The sequence below is a fragment of the Homo sapiens genome, chromosome 20, assembly GCF_000001405.40.
Source record: "Homo sapiens chromosome 20, GRCh38.p14 Primary Assembly".
In the NCBI taxonomy this organism is placed as follows: domain Eukaryota; kingdom Metazoa; phylum Chordata; class Mammalia; order Primates; family Hominidae; genus Homo; species Homo sapiens.
In genome coordinates, this window is record NC_000020.11 from 33,104,509 (window position 1) to 33,122,967 (window position 18,459).

At 47.1% G+C, this 18,459-nt stretch overlaps 1 protein-coding gene across 1 annotated transcript in view, besides 1 other annotated feature; it reads left to right on the forward strand.

Annotated features, from left to right (window-relative positions):
* Positions 1 to 7,243, forward strand: part of BPIFB4 (BPI fold containing family B member 4) — a 32,109-nt gene extending 24,866 nt beyond the window's left edge. The window contains exons 16-18 of the mRNA NM_182519.3: positions 302 to 365; positions 3,236 to 3,312; positions 6,906 to 7,243. Coding sequence (NP_872325.2) covers positions 302 to 365; positions 3,236 to 3,312; positions 6,906 to 6,929 — 165 coding nt within the window. The 3' untranslated portion in view covers positions 6,930 to 7,243. The remainder of the gene's footprint in view (positions 1 to 301; positions 366 to 3,235; positions 3,313 to 6,905) is intronic.
* Positions 15,190 to 15,449: an enhancer, noted in NCBI's record as "active region_17726". NCBI's record gives its function as "activates an Ori minimal core promoter by ATAC-STARR-seq in GM12878 lymphoblastoid cells {active_cell/tissue: GM12878}" and the evidence as "EXISTENCE:reporter gene assay evidence [ECO:0000049][PMID:35858748]".

Here is an 18,459-nt window from a genome sequence, read left to right on the forward strand (position 1 = left end):
CTGTGCTCTGTGCCTCCCAGGGGAGGAACTAGGCCTCCCTCAATCCCTGCTTCATAGGGGCCTTGGGCCACCACCCATGCTGGGCCTCAGTCTGCCCATCTGCACAATGTGCAAGTTGATGGGGGGCACCTTAAGGCTGCCGGTGAGAAATTCTGGGGTCTCAGGGGTTCTGACTGCCAGAACCTAGACTCTCCCAGAGCAGGTCTGTGTCTCCACCTTGAGCCAGGGGAGCAGACCCAAGGGGCCCTCTGGAGCTGAGCAAACCCCCTGCCCAGGCTCTGTCCTCCTTCTTCCTCTGCAGATTGGCCTCATGGAGGTGCTGGTGGAGAAGATTTTTGACCTGGCATTCATGCCCGCAATGAACGGTGAGAGCGGGTGCCTGTGCCTCTCTGGGAGCTTGTGGCTTGGGTACTGGGGGATACTGGCTTGTTGGGCATGCTGGATGTGCATCTATCCTACCTCAATAGTATTTCTGAGCACTTCCTTTGAAGCGTGTCGATGAAAGCCTCCAAATCCAAACGTGGCCCCCAAAGTTCCAGCACCTTCCTTATTTGCTTCTTTCTTGTTTGGCTGATTGTTTTATTTTTCTGATTATCTATGAAAATTCCGATTATGTATTAACATTGTGTGTGTGCAAGTTTTAGAAAATATAAAACAATTTAAAAAAAACTCACCTCGCAGAGGCAATGAATCTCAACATCTGAGCATATTTCCTTCTAAACTCTTTTTCTCCATTGTTTTCCCATATGATTGAGATCTTTCCTGACTCATATTTAAACATGTATTTATTTTTAATGATACAGGAACTACAGGAATACATTCTTATTGTGAAAAGTTCCATTGGCGCAGATACAGCTAAAGTTGCTCTTATCGACATCCCCAGCCTCCTTCCTAGCCCAGAATCTGCCCCCCTAGGGAACCACATCAAGTTAGGAGGTTTTCTTGCCCAACTTTATAAACAGAGTAGACTGAGCTTGCTTTGCTCTCTGGGGCGTCTCAGGAATGTTACTGGGAAGGCTGCTTGTTGAACTATGGGGGTCATTGGCTACTCACATACTGGGACTGGGAAACTGCCCAAGCCCTGGGGTCACTGGGCCCCAGACTCTCTCCCACTCCTGCTTCCTGGATGAGAAGACAAGGAGGGCTGGCACATCCCAGCCAATGTCATCAGCTACACCAGCGGGGGTTCTGTTGGAGCCATCTTGATGTCAAACAAACCCTTGTTCTGGGCCCTGTGGTCAGAGGAAGCCGAGTCTCACTGGTGGGGAAAGTGGTGGTTTCTCTGTGAGAGGATGGGGTCAGGGGCTGGGCTGGGCTGACCTGGGAGGGAAGAGACGGAGCGTCTTGCCTGGCTTAATCACTAAGAGTGGTGTGAACTTGGGGGCGAGTCTTTTAATCATACTGAAGTGCAATTCACCATTTTCAAAATGAGAGCTTGGACAAGGTCCATAGTCCCCAAAGTGAGCTCCGTAAAGCAGTCCCACAAAATACCCTGCAAAAAGCGTTCCATGGCCGAGCAAGTTTGGGAAGTGCTGAAGATACTCCTGCAGGGTAGATTCACAATGTCCTTAGCTTTTTGAAAAGTCCTGCTGGAATAGAGAAGTCTGTTAAATTTCACTTAATTTACTTCCCCCATCCACTCTTTCCTACCCCACTTCTTTTTCTCTCTTCCTGCTCTCTTTCTAGAACAGTAATTAGCAGGTTTACTTAGGCTCTGACAATCTGAAAACAAACAGCACATCCCACGGCAGAGTCAATGGCTAGGGCTCCACGTGCACTTTCCATTACTTCACTCGGCAAACATTTGCCATCTCCTCTATGACTGGGCGAAGGGCTGGGTGATGCTGGGGACACAGCTCTTTTCTTTCTTTTTTTTTTTTTTGAGATGGAGTCTCACTCTGTGGCCCAGGCTAGAGTACAGTGGCACGATCTCGGCTCACTGCAACCTCTGCCTCCCAGGTTCAAGAGACTCCCCTGCCTCAGCCTCCCGAGTACCTGGGATTACAGCTGTGCACCACCACACCCAGCTAATTTTTGTATTTTTAGTAGAGATGGGTTTTTGCCATGTTGGCCAGGCTGGTCTCAAACTCCTGACCTCAAGTGATCCACCCACCTTGGCCTCCCAAGGGGACATAGTTCTTGCCTTCAGGGAACTCACAATGTGGTGGGCGTGACAGATACAGAAACAGATAATTAATATTTTATGGTTTCTCTAATAGAGCAGTTCGGAGGTGGGATGGGGGTGCTGCAGGAGCCTTGAGTCGTTTGGGGTCCAGAAAACCTTGCAGAGGAGGTAACATCTGAACAGTCTCAGAGAGGGCTCAGAACTCACCAGGGATGCTAGGGTGAGAGAATGTGCACCAGGCAGGAGGAACTGCAAGGACAAAGGCCTAGAGGCATAAAAGAAATTGCCAGGGCCGGGCACAGTAGCTCAAGCCTGTAATCCCAACACTTTGGGAGGCCAAGGCGGGTGGAGCACGAGGTCAGGAGTTCAAGACCAGCCTGACCAATATGGTGAAACCCCATCTCTACTAAAAACACAAAAATTAGCTGGGCGTGGTGGCGCACGCCTGTAGTCCCAGTTACTCAGGAGGCTGAGGCAAGAAAATCATTTGAACCCAGGAGGTGGATGTTGCAGTGAGCTGAGATCGTGCCTCTGCGCTCCAGCTGGGGCAACAGAGCAAGACTCAGTTAAAAAAAAAAATGAAAGAAAGAAGGAAGGAAGGAAGGAAAGAAAAGAAAAGAAAAGAAGAGAAAAGAGAAAAGGGAAAAGAAAAGAAAAAGAAAAAGAAATTGCCAGGTGTGGGCACCATGGCTCACACCTGTAATCTCAGTACTTTGGGAGGCCGAGGTGGGGGCAGATCATCTGAGGTCAGGAGTTCAAAATCAGCCTGGCCAACATAGTGAAACCCTGTCTTTACTAAAACAAACAAAACAAACAAACAAAAAACAAAACAAACAAACAAACAAAAAAAGCAAAAATTAGGCATGTTGGCATGTGCCTATAATCCCAGCTACTTGGGAGGCTGAGGCAGGAGAATCACTTGAACCTGGGAGGTGGAGGTTGCAATGAGCCGAGATTGTGCCACTGCACTCCAGCCTGGGCAACAGAGCGAGACTCTGTCTCAAAAAAAGAAAAAAGAAATTGCCAATCTTCTTACAAATACTGGCGGCTTCTGGTGAGACCAACACCTCTTGGACCACTGACCATGTCTGACTGTTTTTTATTTTACAGCTGTGCTGGGTTCTGGCGTCCCTCTCCCCAAAATCCTCAACATCGACTTTAGCAATGCAGACATTGACGTGTTGGAGGTAAGAGGAGATCGAGCTCCATTCTGCTTTTCCTCCCTGCCCTTTGCTCATCACCTTTGACCACTGCATTCAGGCCAGGAACTTGGAAGAGGAAGAGAAGAGGAGGGAAGGGGAGGAAACAGGGTCCTCTTCCTTCCAAGCATGGGGCTGAGGGAACAAGGAGCAGAGCTGTTAAGGATCCTTGAAGACACTCTCCCATTCAGTCTCATTTAGCCCTCACCACAGGTGTCATTGTTGCCATCTTACAGATGTGAGAACTGAGGCTCACAGCAGTAAGGGGCTTGCCCAAAATGGAATGTGGTATAGTTCATTGGAGCAACTTTTATTGAGCACCTACTGTGTGCCAGGCACTATGCAGGGGCCTGGGGATCCAGCAGTGAACAAGGACAACCCTGGCCCTTGCAAAGCTCTCTTAGCCCAATGGGGAGATGGCCTTTTGGTAAATATTCCCGAAGTAATTGGCTAATTATAATCATGGCAGGTGCTTTGAAGTTCACATGCAGGGGTTCTTGTTTCCACTATAAAAACCACCCGTGCTCAATATCTGAAATTTGGAAAATATGGAAAAGATTAAAAAAAAGTATGCATCCATATATATATGTCTATATATATATATAGACATATATACAATCCAGCAATTCCCCCTGAGAACATTTTGCTGCTTTTCATTCCAGTCTTTCTGAAGTTTTATTTTTAAACATGGCTTTGCTCAGGGAATCAGTAGAGCATTGGGGTTAAAGAACGAGGGCTTGGAGCCCAGTGACCCCAGTTCAAATCCTAACTCTGCCAGTTTCCAGCTGGGTAACCTCTCCAAGCCTCCATTTATTTCCTCTATAAAAAGGGGCTAATCATACTACCTACCCATAGGGCTGCTTTTAGGAGAAAATGGGATTCTGTGTGTAACGTGCCTTGCACAGGCCTGGCACATAATAAGCACTTCTGGAAGTGTCCACCATTATAAATACCATCACTGTAATAAAGGATGCTGCAGTGAACATCTCAATGCATAAACTGTTTCTTGATTCTAGATTTAGTTCCTTGGAACAAATTCCCAGAAATGGAATGAATGGGGCCTTTGTGCCAGATTGACAATTTCCTTGCCGAAGGAAATTGCCCCCTCACATTTGCCCCTCACATTCATGACAGGCTCAGACCCAGGGAACAGCCCCCTTCCCACATTAGGGAGTCAGTCAAGGGAGGTGGACAATGACCTTGGATGGGCAGTGTGGGCAGGGGTCAGATGCTGGCTCTGGGACAGTCCCCTGCCTTGGCCCAGTCTCTTGAGATCCTGTAGGACCTCGGCACTGCTTTGAGCCTCAGTTTTCTCATCTGAAAATGGGGAACGATAATGGCCACCTCATACAGTTTGTGGTGAGAAATTAAACGAGATACAGCATTTTATTATAAAATGTTATTATTCACTTCAACAAAGGGGTTAGGAAACACGAACAGGATTGGCACAGGTTTATCTTCATCATCATCATCATCATCATCTCTACTATTTACTGAGATGTTCAGTGCCCCATACATAGTCTTTCATGGACTTGGCCTTACCACATGACCTTTCATGGACTTGGCCATCAACAGCCCTGGTTGATGTTTGCCCTCACTTAGTAGATGAAGGACTTGAGTATCAGAGAGGGTAGGCCACTTGCTCGAGGTCACCCAGCTGGTGAGAATTAGAGTTTCCACCAAAACAGTGTGAAGCAGCTCAAACCAATGGCTCTCAGTGGGGCTGTACTACACCCTCCCTGGCCCCCAGGGCCTTTTTGAAATTGGTGGAGATGAATTTTTCTTTCCTGAATGTGTGCATATTTTCATATCAAAATACATATTATTTTATTATAAATGACTTACCTTTTCTTTCTCCTTCATATTCTGGTAAGGGAATTATACTGGTTTTTGAAATATAGGTATACACAGGTTATAGAATCTGTGAACCTTATTCCAGAATAATAAGGGAGATAACACAAATGCCTGTAATCAAATGTGTAATGGGTATTGGGTTTGAAAGGTTTAAAGAAAACCTCAGTCCCAGGCTTGACCCTGTAGGCCCCCTGTAAATGGCAGCTGCTATTATTATTATTATATAGGTCTAGCCATTTATTTTAACTTTTTATTTTGAAATAATTTTAGGCACACAGAAAAGTTGCAAACATAGTACAGACAGTTCCAGAATACCCTTCTCCCAGCTCCCCCTAATGTTAGCATCTTACATAAACAGAGTACCATGATCAAAACCCAGAAATTAACATTGGTACAAAACCGTGAAGAATCTGCAGACGTATTCACCAGTTTCCCCTCTATTGCCTTTGGTCTGGTTCAGGGTCCAGTCAAGGATCCCCTCTTGCATTCAGTTGTCATGTCTCTTTAGAGTCCTCCAAGGTGGGACAATTCCTCACCTTTTCCTTGTGTTTCATAACCTTGACATTTCTGATGAGTCTGGCCTATTTTGTGCGATATGCCCTGGATTTGATGGACACTTTTTTCACAATTGGATTGAAGTTTTGTGGTTTTGGCAAGAACACCACAGAAGTGACGCAGTCCCCAGTGCATCCTTTCAGGGGATACCGATGTCCATGTGACTTATTCCTGGAGGTGTTCACTTTGAGTGCTTGCTTAAGTGCTTCTTCACTGTAAAATTACTATTTTTCCCTTAGTAGCTAATCAATCTCTTGTGAGGAGGTACCAGGAGACCATGCAAATATCCTGTTTCTCGTTAGACTTTCTCCCACTAATTTTTGCCATTCAGTGTTCACGGTTTTGTCTGCAACTGTTATGACTGTGGTGTGTGCCTAATGGTGATATTCTGCTTCTCCAATTCCTTTGACATGTGTCAGCTGGAATTCTACCGAGGAAGAGCTGTCCCTTCTCTTCCATTTATTTATTTATCCATTTAATTATTTATTTCTGTCGATAGAGACTCACGAATTTTTTTTTTTTTTTGGTCTATGGGTTATCATCTCTTACTTTTATTATTTATTTTGTTGAAGTTTTTTTTTTTTTTTTTTTGAGAGGGAGTTTTGCTCTTGTCACCCAAGCTGGAGTGCAATGGCGCGATCTCGGCTCACTGTAACCTCCACCTCCCGGGTTTAAGTGATTCTTGTGCCTCAGCCTCCCAAGTAGCTGGAATTACAGGCACGTGCCACCATGCCCAGATAATTTTTGTATTTTTAGTAGAGATATGGTTTCACCATGTTGCCCAGGCTGGTCTCGAACTCCTGACCTCAGGTGATCCACCTGCCTCAGCCTCCCAAAGTGTTGGGATTACAGGCGTAAGCCACCACGCCTGGCCAAAAAATTTTTTTTAATTATGAAAACTGGATTTTGGAAGACTGTGAAGAGGGACTCAGGCCTACTTCTCTTATTTTGGGGAATAAGGGGATGGGAAGTGTCTTGCCCAAGGTCCTCTGCACAGGGCCAGATAATGACCTGGCCAGGTGCTCCTCGGGCCTGCATGACCCCTTTATCTCCGCTGTTCAGAGTTACTGCTTCCTAGAAACATGACCGGCCAGATCCGTAGGCAGGTGAGTAGCAAGGCTCTAGCCAGAGCCACCCCACCCATCACCGGCTACTCTGTTCTGCCATCCAAGGACCTTTTGGTGCTGAGCGCATGAGTGACAGAGGCAGAGATGCTGCTGCAACTGGAAGAAGCTGGAACCAGTCCCAGAGAGGCTCGGCCTGGAAACAGTCCCCTGCCCAGAGTCCCCTCAGCCTCCATGACAGGTCCCTCCCTGGCCCCCCAACCCTCTTCCTCCCTTGCCCCAACCCTGAGAAAGGGTCCAGCCACTACCCTGTTGGCAAACATTCCCTTCCATGGTCAGCCTGCCAGGAGGAGGGGAGTCACCTTGGGGCTGGAGGCCTCTCAGACCCCATCCTGACAGCAGGTTGAGTATTCCCACTTTCAATAAAAGACTCCACTTTCCCGGCACTTGTGACGAGTTTCCATGAAGGACCCTCCCTCAGGGTCTGGATGGTTTGGGTTTTTTTCCCTCTTTGGCTGCGCCCGGGCACTTGGCAGTTGTAGCTACAACTGCGGGAATGATGGTCCCTCTGGGGACAGCGGGGGAAGCAACCTGTCTCTTCATATTAAAACAACCACACAGCATTCTATGGAGAGGGTCCCCTGCCACCAGGACATTTTCGTACTTCACTACTCTCAACTCTGGCATCAGGAGGTCATTAAAGTGCAGGAGTTTTGGAGTAGGGAGGATGAGGTTCAAATCCCAACTCTGTCACTTGGTTGTGTGACTTGATGAGGTCCTTAGCCTTTCTGAATCTCAATTTTCCCATCTGTAAAATGGATAATAGTAATAATTATTATACTCCAAAATGAGTGTGAGGATATTAAATAAGATCAGGTATTTCTGAGGCACTTAACACTGAGGCTGACATGCAGTAGGTGCTCAATATGTGCTCACTGTGGTTAGTAACAAAGTCCACTAATTCCTAAAGTGTGAGCTTGTGGAACCCCTTGCCTCTAGTCAGAGGTAAACTGAGGACAAGGAGGGGTCCTTGGCATGTCTCTTGGCCGAGACAGTGCCCAGGGGACCCCTCCTAGGGACAGTGCCACATCTCCCTGTAGAGCCATAGGGCACATTCAGAGCAGTTTAGGAGAGTTATTTGATCCCAGCCTTGAAGGCGTGCAGAAATACTGAAGTCCCTTTTACATAATTAAGGATTTTTTTTTCCTCCTAGTGATTTTTAAAAAGACTTTTTTTTATGTCTCTGTTGTTTTCTTTTACTTAAATATCAGGAATCTAAGCTACTGGGTTGTCGGGTTCAATAGTAGATTTCTGGCTTCACCATCCATCCATTCTTGCATTCACTGACTGTCTAGCAATGATTTAGGGACTGGGATTTCTACACTTGACAAGGGATACAGGGCTTCCTCATGAAGGTTAGGTTCTAGTCCATGAGACAGACTTTAAGTAATTACGGCCTAAGTAAACAATAACGAGTAAATCAATAAACAGAGGTCATTTGAGATTGTCATGGGGGCTATAAAGGGAATAAACAGGGACTCCTCTTGGGGAGGGAAGGGGAAAGGAGGTGGCACCATTGGGTGGTCAGGGAAGGCGTCTCTGAGGAGGAAACACATCATCAGAGACCCCTCTGGGGGCCTTCACAGCCCACCACCCTTCCCTCCGCAGCTTCCTGGGTCTAGGTGCCTCCTGGTCTCCTTGGTAACGGCCAAACCCTAACCCCTTGGAGGAGGAAGGGGCTCAGAAAGAAGCAGGGTGGGACTTCCTGTCCAGCCTGCCCAGGGAAGGGCTAAAGGGGAGGAAGTCCTTACTTAGAGGGTGGTGCTTGGGGAGGAGGCTGCTCCTTTCCTGTCATGGCTGCCCTCTCTTTCCTTCCACTGTGTTAGAACCACCTGCTATAAATCCTCATGAATTCATCCATTTGTTTCCATCCCTGCACCACCCTGGTTCCACTCCCATCATCTCTCCCCTGGGCCACTGCTCCAGCCTCCCCAGTGCTCCCCCACCTTCCACTCCTGCTCTGACTGATGGAGGGCAGGTGAGCCCCAGAATTGGGGCTTATCCCAGGCGGGTTCTTGGCTTCTCCCAGGAAAGAATTCAAGGGCGAGCTGGTGGTGTCAGACAGCAACTTTTACTGAAGCAGCAATGCATGGCAGCAGAGGGACTGCTCCTTGCAGAGCAAGGCTACCCCACAGGCAGTGTGTGCAGAGGAGCAGCGGATAGGCTTTTGGCAGCTGTATGTCAACCCACTTTTAATTACATGCTAGTTAAGAGGTGAGTTATTTGGAACTTTCTGGGAAAAGAGCTGGAAGTTTCTGGAACCATTTAAGTAACTTCTGAGTTGTTGCCATGGCCCATTGCCATGGCATTTGTAAACTGTCGTGGCCCAGTGGGAGTGTCCTTATGCAGTGAGGGCAACTAGAGTCGCCTTCGTGGCCATCTGCTGGTTTTCCCTGGCTTCCTCACTGCACCCTCTTTTGAACAAATCCTGCTCTGATTAGGAGGGTAATGATCAAAGTTATGACCAGTGCTCGGAAAACAAGTCCTGGTGATCTCCTACCTCTGTACCATCTATTCTCCAGTCAGCTGTAACAGGTCTGGATTTTTAAAACTGCAGATCCAATCACTTCCCTCCCCAGGTTTTCCTTCCGTGAGCTTTTCATGGGTGCAGAGCAAAATCCAGACCCTCACCACTGCCCACAAGGTCCTGCAGGGTCTTCTCCCATCCCCATTCCCCAGCCCACCTCTCCCTAGTCCTCTGCTGAAGAAGGGAAAGTGAAGCCCTCCACGGGGCCCTCCCACCCTTTCCTCAGGAGGCTTCACACCAACTTATGTCGGACATCTTAAAACATACCCACATCCTTTAACAAGTTTGATTTATTCTGCTATTCAGTTTTTGAGAGGATTTTTGAAACTTAAAAAAAAGTTTTGGCATTATAAATAACTCATTTCAGCCAGGCATGGTGGCTCATGCCTGTAATCCCAGCACTTTGGGAGACCAAGCCAGGCGGATCACCTGAGGTCAGGAGTTCAAGACCAGCCTGCCCAACATGGTGAAACCCCGTCTCTATTAAAAATACAAAAATTAGGGCAACCCACTTGGGACCCCTTCCACACCATGGAAGCTTTGTTCTTTTGCTCTTTGCAATAAATCTTGCTACTGCTCGCTCTTTGGGTCCACACTGCCTTTATGAGCTGTAACACTCACCGCCAAGGTCTGCAGCTTCACTTTTGAAGCCAGTGAGACCACGAACCCACTGGGAGGAACGAAGAACTCCAGATGCGCCGCCTTAAGAGCTGTAACACTCACCGTGAAGGTCTGCAGCTTCACTCCTGCAGCCAGCGAGACGAGACCATGAACCCACCAGAAGGAAGAAACTCCGAACACATCCGACCATCAGAAAGAACAAACTCTGGACACGCCGCCTTTAAGAAGTGTAACACTCACTGTGAGGGTCCGCGGCTTCATTCTTGAAGTCAGTGAGACCAAGAACCCACCAATTCCAGACACAAGATCACGACATTGCACTCTAGCCTGGGTGACAGAGTGAGACTCCATCTCAAAAAAAAAAGAACAAGGCTAATCTTTCCTGAACATTAAAACTTTGCACCCGGTGCTCTCCCTCTCCCTCTCCCTCCCCCTCCCCCTCCCCCTCTCCCCACGGTCTCCCTCTCCCTCTCTTTCCAGGGTCTCCCTCTGATGCCGAGCCGAAGCTGGACTGTACTGCTGCCATCTCGGCTCACTGCAGCCTCCCTGCCTGATTCTCCTGCCTCAGCCCGCCCAGTGCCTGCTGTTGCAGGCGCGCGCCGCCACGCCTGACTGGTTTTCGTACTTTTTTGGTGCAGACGGGGTTTCGCTGTGTTGGCCGGGCTGGTCTCCAGCTCCTAACCGCGAGTGATCCGCCAGCCTCGGCCTCCCGAGGTGCCGGGATTGCAGACGGAGTCTGGTTCACTCAGTGCTCAATGGTGCCCAGGCTGGAGTGCAGTGGCGTGATCTCGGCTTGCTACAACCTCCACCTCCCAGCCGCCTGCCTTGGCCTCCCAAAGTGCCGAGATTGCAGCCTCTGCCCAGCCGCCACCCCATCTGGGAAGTGAGGAGCGTCTCTGCCTGGCCGCCCATCGTCTGGGACGTGAGGAGCCCCTCTGCCTGGCTGCCCAGTCTGGAAAGTGAGGAGCGTCTCTGCCCGGCCGCCATCCCATCTGGGAAGTGAAGAGCACCTCTTCCCGGCCGCCATCACATCTAGGAAGTGAGGAGCGTCTCTGCCCGGCGCCCATCGTCTGAGATGTGGGGAGCGCCTCTGCCCCGCCGCCCCGTCTGGGATGTGAGGAGCGCCTCTGCCCGGCCGAGACCCCGTCTGGGAGGTGAGGAGCGTCTCTGCCCGGCCGCCCCGTCTGAGAAGTGAGGAGACCCTCCGCGCGGCAGCCACCCCGTCTGGGAAGTGAGGAGCGTCTCCGCCCGGCAGCCACCCTGTCCGGGAGGGAGATGGGGGTCAGCCCCCGCCAGGCCAGCTGCCCCGTCCGGGAGGGAGGTGGGGGGGTCAGCCCCCTGCCCGGCCAGCCGCCCCGTCCGGGAGGTGAGGGGCGCCTCTGCCCAGCCGCCCCTACTGGGAGGTGAGGAGCCCCTCTGCCCGGCCACCACCCCGTCTGGGAGGTGTACCCAACAGCTCATTGAGAACGGGCCAGGATGACAATGGCGGTTTTGTGGAATAGAGAGGGGGGGAAAGGTGGGAAAAAGATTGAGAAATCGGATGGTTGCCGTGTCTGTGTAGAAAGAAGTAGACATGGGAGACTTTTCATTTAGTTCTGTACTAGGAAAAATTCTTCTGCCTTGGGAAACTGTTGATCTGTGACCTTACCCCCAACCCTGTGCTCTCTGAAACATGTGCTGTGTCCACTCAGGGTTAAATGGATTAAGGGCGGTGCAAGATGTGCTTTGTTAAACAGATGCTTGAAGGCAGCATGCTCGTTAAGAGTCATCACCACTCCCTAATCTCAAGTACCCAGGGACACAAACACTGCGGAAGGCCGCAGGGTCCTCTGCCTAGGAAAACCAGAGACCTTTGTTCACTTGTTTATCTGCTGACCTTCCCTCCACTATTGTCCTGTGACCCTGCCAAATCCCCCTCTGCGAGAAACACCCAAGAATGATCAATAAAAAAACAAAACAAAACAAAAAAAAACTTTGCACCCATATCAGTTTCTCTTCATGACCTAAAGGAAAAGATCTGAAATCAATTCAAATTATTAAGTGAATTGAATTTCTTTGGAAACAAACACCACTTAGAAAATCTTATTCTCATCTACTTTTCCAAATAACAAGATATATAATGTACTATTTCTGCTTAGAACTTATAAAAGTCTTTTATGTAATTTTTTTCACCAGGAACCCTAAAGCTCTCATAGCTCTCGGGAGCATCAGAAGTAGCAAAACCAATCAAATTTCAAATACCTGGTATCCTCTATCAATTTTTAGAGGCTTGATAATGGTAGCTTAGGAATTTTTGGATAAATAGAGCAGATAGTGAATTCTTGGAAATCCATAGGAAACAAAATGACTATTTATAGAACCAAATAAAAGCCTTCCGTTAGAAACTAAAAAAAATCAATGGTGTTTTATGTGTTTATATAAGCAAAATGCAAAGGAGAAAAAACAGCAAATAAATGAAAATTAGAAGAAAAAAAAACAAACAGGAAACCACTCCCCAATTTTTCTCTTACTTGGTTTACCCAGGAGGCTATAGTATTGCCCAGAGCCTACAAAAACAAATGATGAATATTTTGTTCCTGGTACACAATTTAATGTCTTTAAGTCCACCAATACCATTATGTATTTTTTGCAATTGAGAAATTCACTTTAGGTACATGACCAGTAAGTACTTTAGTGCTGAAACTGTCTATGCAGAATAGCAAAAATAGTGTGAAGCAATGCAAGCATATATGTGAAATTTGGCTCCATGCTAACTAAATCTGGCTTCATGCTTAACTTTATTAAAAAAGAATGGCCAAACTGCCAATGTATTTCTTTACAATATTTTTTATTTTACTTTCTTCAAGATTAAGAACTTTATGAACAGTGTTAATTCGCTGAATTTCTCCAATTTTCTATCAGCTTTTAAAGAATATTTTACTATCTAAGCTTTTTCAACTTTTTTTTTTTTTTTTAAATAACCAGTCATTTTACTTTAGGACAAAAATTTACCTTACAATTTACCATCCTTTCTCATATGAAAGTATTCTCTTTTCTTTATACCCTTCCTTACCAAAAACACATCTTCATATCTGTAACTTTCTTTTTTTTCTTTTTTTTTTTGAGAGGGAGTCTCACTCTGTAGCCCAGGCTGGAGTGCAGTGGCGCCATCTCGGCTCACTGCAAGCTCCGCCTCCCGGGTTCACGCTGTTCTCCTGCCTCAGCCTCCCGAGTAGCTGAGACTCCAGGCACCCGCCACCATGCCTGGCTAATTTTTTGTATGTTTAGTACAGACGGGGTTTCACCGTGTTAACCAGGATGGTCTTGATCTCCTGACCTTGTGATCCGCCCCCCTCGGCCTCCCAAAGTGCTGGGATTACAGGCGTGAGCCACCACGCCCAGCCCATATCTGTAACTTTCTTCACATCACTCTCCCCTACTTACTGATTCCTTACTACTTTGTTTCATGAATAACCTTTTCAAGTCCATATTTTGAATTAAACTTTAGATAACTTCTGAATTAAATAAAAATTATTATTTTTCTCACTAAAAAAAAAAAAATACAAAAATTAGCCAGGTATGGTGGCATGCCCCTGTAATCCCAGCTACTTGGGAGGCTGAGGCAGGAGAATTGCTTAAACCCAGGAGGCAAAGGTTGCAGTGAGCCAAGATCATGCCACTCTACTCCAGCCTGGGTGACAGTATGAGACACCATCTCAAAATAAATAAATAAAAAATAAAATAACCCATTTCATTTTCCACTGGGTCTGATTTCTCAAAAGTCAAATGACATGCTCATGTGTTCTTGTAAAGTGAAAAAATGGAAGGATTTGGGAGACCAGGGAAGGAGGAAGAGACTGGATTGGGCCAGATGAGAATTTGGGCAGAGCAGCATGGGGCTGAGTGCCCAGATGACGGTGGATGGTCAGGAAGGCTTGGAATTCTGGAGAAGAGGAGTGAAGCAGGATGTGATTAGTGCTGCTGACTCAGGAGAGGGGCCTCAACACCCAGCCTGATGGTCCAGGGCTCAGACCACACTGATCCATTCTTGCTCATGACAGTGGATCAAGCCATCACTGCACCCTGCATTGACAATGACAAAACCAAGTGAACGGTTGTTTTAAATTTAAACACAAGGAAAGCCTCACTGAGCATCTCCACCAGTTTGGGATGATACAGAGGTTTCACTGATGATCATAGATGCTCCTTAAAATGTCAGGATTCCAGCTGTCTGTGTGTAAGTGCTGTGGGCTCCTGGAAGCCCTGTGTGGCAGCAGATTTCATGGCAGAATATGCCATGTATCTCCGCTAATGTCTTAATTCAGTTGTAGATGACAAATAACAAACTCGAGCAGCCTCCTAAAGACTTCACTTAGTAGATGTTTCTGCTATTAATCCTGAGTAACAAACCATCTCAAAACTTAATAGCACAAAACACAATTTTAGCTTCCTCACAGATTCTGTGGGTCAGAACAGCTTATCTCTGCTCCAAGATGTCCGGGGTCCTCAGCTGGGAAGACTCAAACAACTCGGGGTGATTTGAGAGCAGGGGGTTGGAATCATTTGGAGTCTTCTTCACTCACCTGCCGGCTGGTTGATGTTGGCTGTCAGCTGTGACACCTACACATGGCCCCTCTGGGTACTGGGTACTGGTATCCCAAGGGAGCAAAATGGAAGCTGCATGGTACTTTTGTGATCTGGTTTTGGAAGTCACGTAGTGTCACTTCTGCTTATACACAGTTAGTCAAGGTGGTCACGAGAGCCTTTCTAGGTTCAACAAAGTGGCCACTTCATCAGTCTTATCACAATGGCATACAACCCTGATGTTACCGGTGGGCTGGGGGAGGTCCCCAAATGCCAATGGGACCTTGACTCCAGCCAGCATCCAGGCTCTTGACACCATTGCAAGAAGGAATTCAAGGATGAGTCAGAAAATAGTGAAAGTATGGAGATTTATTGCAAAGTGAAAAGTACTCACTCAAAAAAAGGGGAGTGCAGGTGCACTTAAGAGAGTCATGCGAGGGGCTTTGAGGCTGCTACCTTTGTGGATTTCTTTAATCAAGGGGTGGAATGTTCATAAAGATTCCTGAAAAAAAGTGGACATTTCAGAACTGTGGTGCCATTCATTTTTACACCAAATATGGATGTTCCTGGAACTGTCATGGTGCTGGTGGGTGTGTAATTTAGTATGTTAATGATCATATAATGAGGGCCTAGGTGAAACCTAGGTCAAATCCAGTGCCATGTTTGGTCCAGTTGGTCTTAGCCAGTTTGGTGCACACCATTTTTCACCATCTTATCAGCTATTTCAACAGTTTCATTTTACTAGTCATGTGAAACTGCTGCCTGGGATTTTCTGTTCTCTTGCAACCACCCTGTATTATTCATATCTCATTTTCAGTGACCCTAGCATCTCTGAAGTGGTTCACTTTGTTTCTTCTTAGCTTCACCACCCTGACCTTCAATCCCACACTGATAATCTTATTTGCAGGTTGACTACTAAAAAGAGTACTATGCTACTCCAGTCCTCCTATTTTTCAGATGAGGCAAGTGAGGTTCAGAAAGACAAAGAGCATCCCCCAGAAGCAGCAGGCTGGTGATTCCCAGGAAATACTTGGTTTCTTATTTCAACTGCATCAGAAGCCACCTCGATATTCAGTAGCTTAATAAACCCAACACTTTATTATTTTTCATGCTTCTGTGGATTAACTAGGTAGTTCTAAGTGTGGCGTTGGCTGGGGCACTGGGATAGCTGAACAGTCCAAATGACCTCACTCACACAGCTGGTAGTTTTGTCAGCCACTGTTTAGGAGCTCAGCTGGGACTCTTGGCTAGGGAGCCTCTGTTCTCCTCCACATAACTGCTTGAGTTTCCTCCTATTATGGTGGCTGGGTTCAAAACAAAGACATTCCAGAATGGCGAAGGTGAAAGCTACAGATTTCTTAAGGCCTAGCCTTGGAAGTTATACAGTGTCAATTCTACTATTATTTTTGTCAAAATAGCCCATGAGTCAGCCCAGATTCAAGGAGACAGGAAGTGGACTCCACCCAGCAATGGAATGAGTGGCAAAGAATATGTGATCATCTTTAATTCACCACAGGTTCTCCAGTTGGTAGTGAAGCAGGTGAGCAAAGTTGAAGGCCCAGGTGTCAATCCCAGAGTGGTTTGTAAACATGAGGAACAACTAATGACCAACAGGAGGAGGATAGTTAAAATAATTATGTTCAATATATGCGGTGGAGTACTCTATCACTGTTAACAAAAGACACAGAAACGTATTTGTAATACATTGCTACATGAAAAAAGAGCTTATAAAAACACTGTGCAGGGCATAATCCCATTTTTATTTAGGGAAAATTTTACCCAACTTTACCTGTATGTGCACAGAAAAGCTTCTGAAAGAAGATACACCATCATTCTTGTGGTGGTTATCTCAGAGGGTGACATTGATTTCTTTTTTTCTTCTAGCGAATTTGTACCTTCTTTAAAAAATTACCACAGAAATTGATTTTTTTAAATAAAAAAGAAATTCCCAAAGGGCACCAAAACAACCCAGTTATTCTCTCTGGGAATTGCAGCCAGGCACTGCGCCTGAGGCCTTCCCTTCAGTGTAGCCCTCACTAGTGTCAGTGCGGCCCCAGCTCAAGAGAGCCTCTTTGAGTAAAGACTTCCCAAGGCCTCTTCTCCTGCCCTGTGCTCCCAGCCAGGATCCTCTCCCAGTGACTTGGGAGTCTTGGACAAGGCAGCACCCACAGCTCAACCTAGGGGCTCTTTGGGTGAGAAAATCCTTGTGCCTTTTGGTGTTAGTGGGTTAGTTTTTGGATTAGGTGAAGTGACCTCTTGAGTGTAAATTCACGGACACAGGTCAGGTGTGACAGAGAGGAGGGTAAATGGGAAGGAGCTAGTGTTTATTAAATGCCTAGCAAGTGCAAGAGCAGTGCCAGGCATTGCCCATTGATACGGTTTCGCTGTGTCCCCACCACAATTTCAACTTGAATTGTATCTCCCAGAATTCTCACATGTTGTGGAAGGAACCCAAAGGGAGGTAATTGAATCATGGGGGCTGGTCTTTCCTGTGCTATTCTCGTAATAGTGAATAAGTCCCACGAGATCTGATGGGTGTATCAGGGGTTTCCACTTTTGCTTCTTCCTCATTCTCTCTTGCCACCGCCATGTAAGCAGTACCTTTCACCTTCTGCCATGATTCTGAGGCCTCCCTAACCATGTGGACCTGTAAGTTCAATTAAACTTCTTTTTCTTCCCAGTCTCAAGTATGTCTGTATCAGCAGTGTGAAAACAGACTAATACAGTAAATTGGTACCTGTAGAGTGGTGTGTTGCTGAAAAGGTATCCGAAAATGTGGAAGCGACTTTGCAACTGGGTCATAGGCAGAGCCTGCAACAGTTTGGAGGGCTCAGAAGAAGACAGGAAAATGTGGGAAAGTGGAAATTCCTAGAGACTTGTTGAATGGCTTTGCCCAAAATGCTGATAGTAATGTGGACAATAAGGTCCAGGCTAAGGTGGTCTCAGATGGAGCTGAGGAACTTGTTGGGAATTGAAGTAAAGGTAACTGTTGTTATGTTTTAGCAGAGACTGGCAGTATTTTGCCCCTGCCCTCAGAGATTTGTGGAACTTTGAACTTGAGAAAGATGGTTTAGGGTTATCTGGAGGAAGAAATTTCTAAGAAGCAAAGCATTCAAGAGGTGACTTGGGTACTGTTAAAGGCATTCAGATTTATAAGGGAAGCAGAGCATAAAAGTTTGGAAAATTTGCAGCCTGATTATGTGATAGAAAAGAAAAATCCATTTTCTGGGGAGAAATTCAAGCTGGTTGCAGAAATTTGTATAAGTAGCAAGGAGCCTAATGTTAATCCCCAAGGCCATGGGGAAAATGTCTCCAGGCCATGTCAGAGACCTTCATGGCAGCCCCTCCCATCACAGGCCCAGGGTCTCAGGAGGAAAAAATGGTTTTGTGGGCTGGGCCCAGGGTCCCTGTGCTGTGTGCAGCCTGGGGACTTGGGGCCTTGCATCCCAGCCACTCCAGCTGTGGCTGAAAGGGGCCAACATACAGCTTGGGCTGTGGCTTCAGAGGGTGGAAGCCCAAGCCTTGGCAGCTTCCACATGGTGTTGAGCCTGCAGGTGCACAGAAGTCAAGAATTAAGGTTTGGGAACCTCCACCTAGATTTCAGAAGATGTATGGAAACGCCTGGATGCTCAGACAAAAGTTTGCTGTAGGGGTGGTGCCCTCATAGAGAACCTCACTAGGGCAGTGCAGAAGGGAAATGTGGGGTCAGAGCCCCCACACAGAGTCCCTACTGTGGCACTGCCTAGTGATGCTGTGAGAAGAGGGCCACCGTCCTTCAGACCCCAGAATGGTAGTTCCACTGACAGCTTGCATCATGCACCTGGAAAAGCCACAGACACTCAATGCCAGCTCATGAAAGCAGCTTGGAGGGAGGCTGTACCCTGCAAAGCC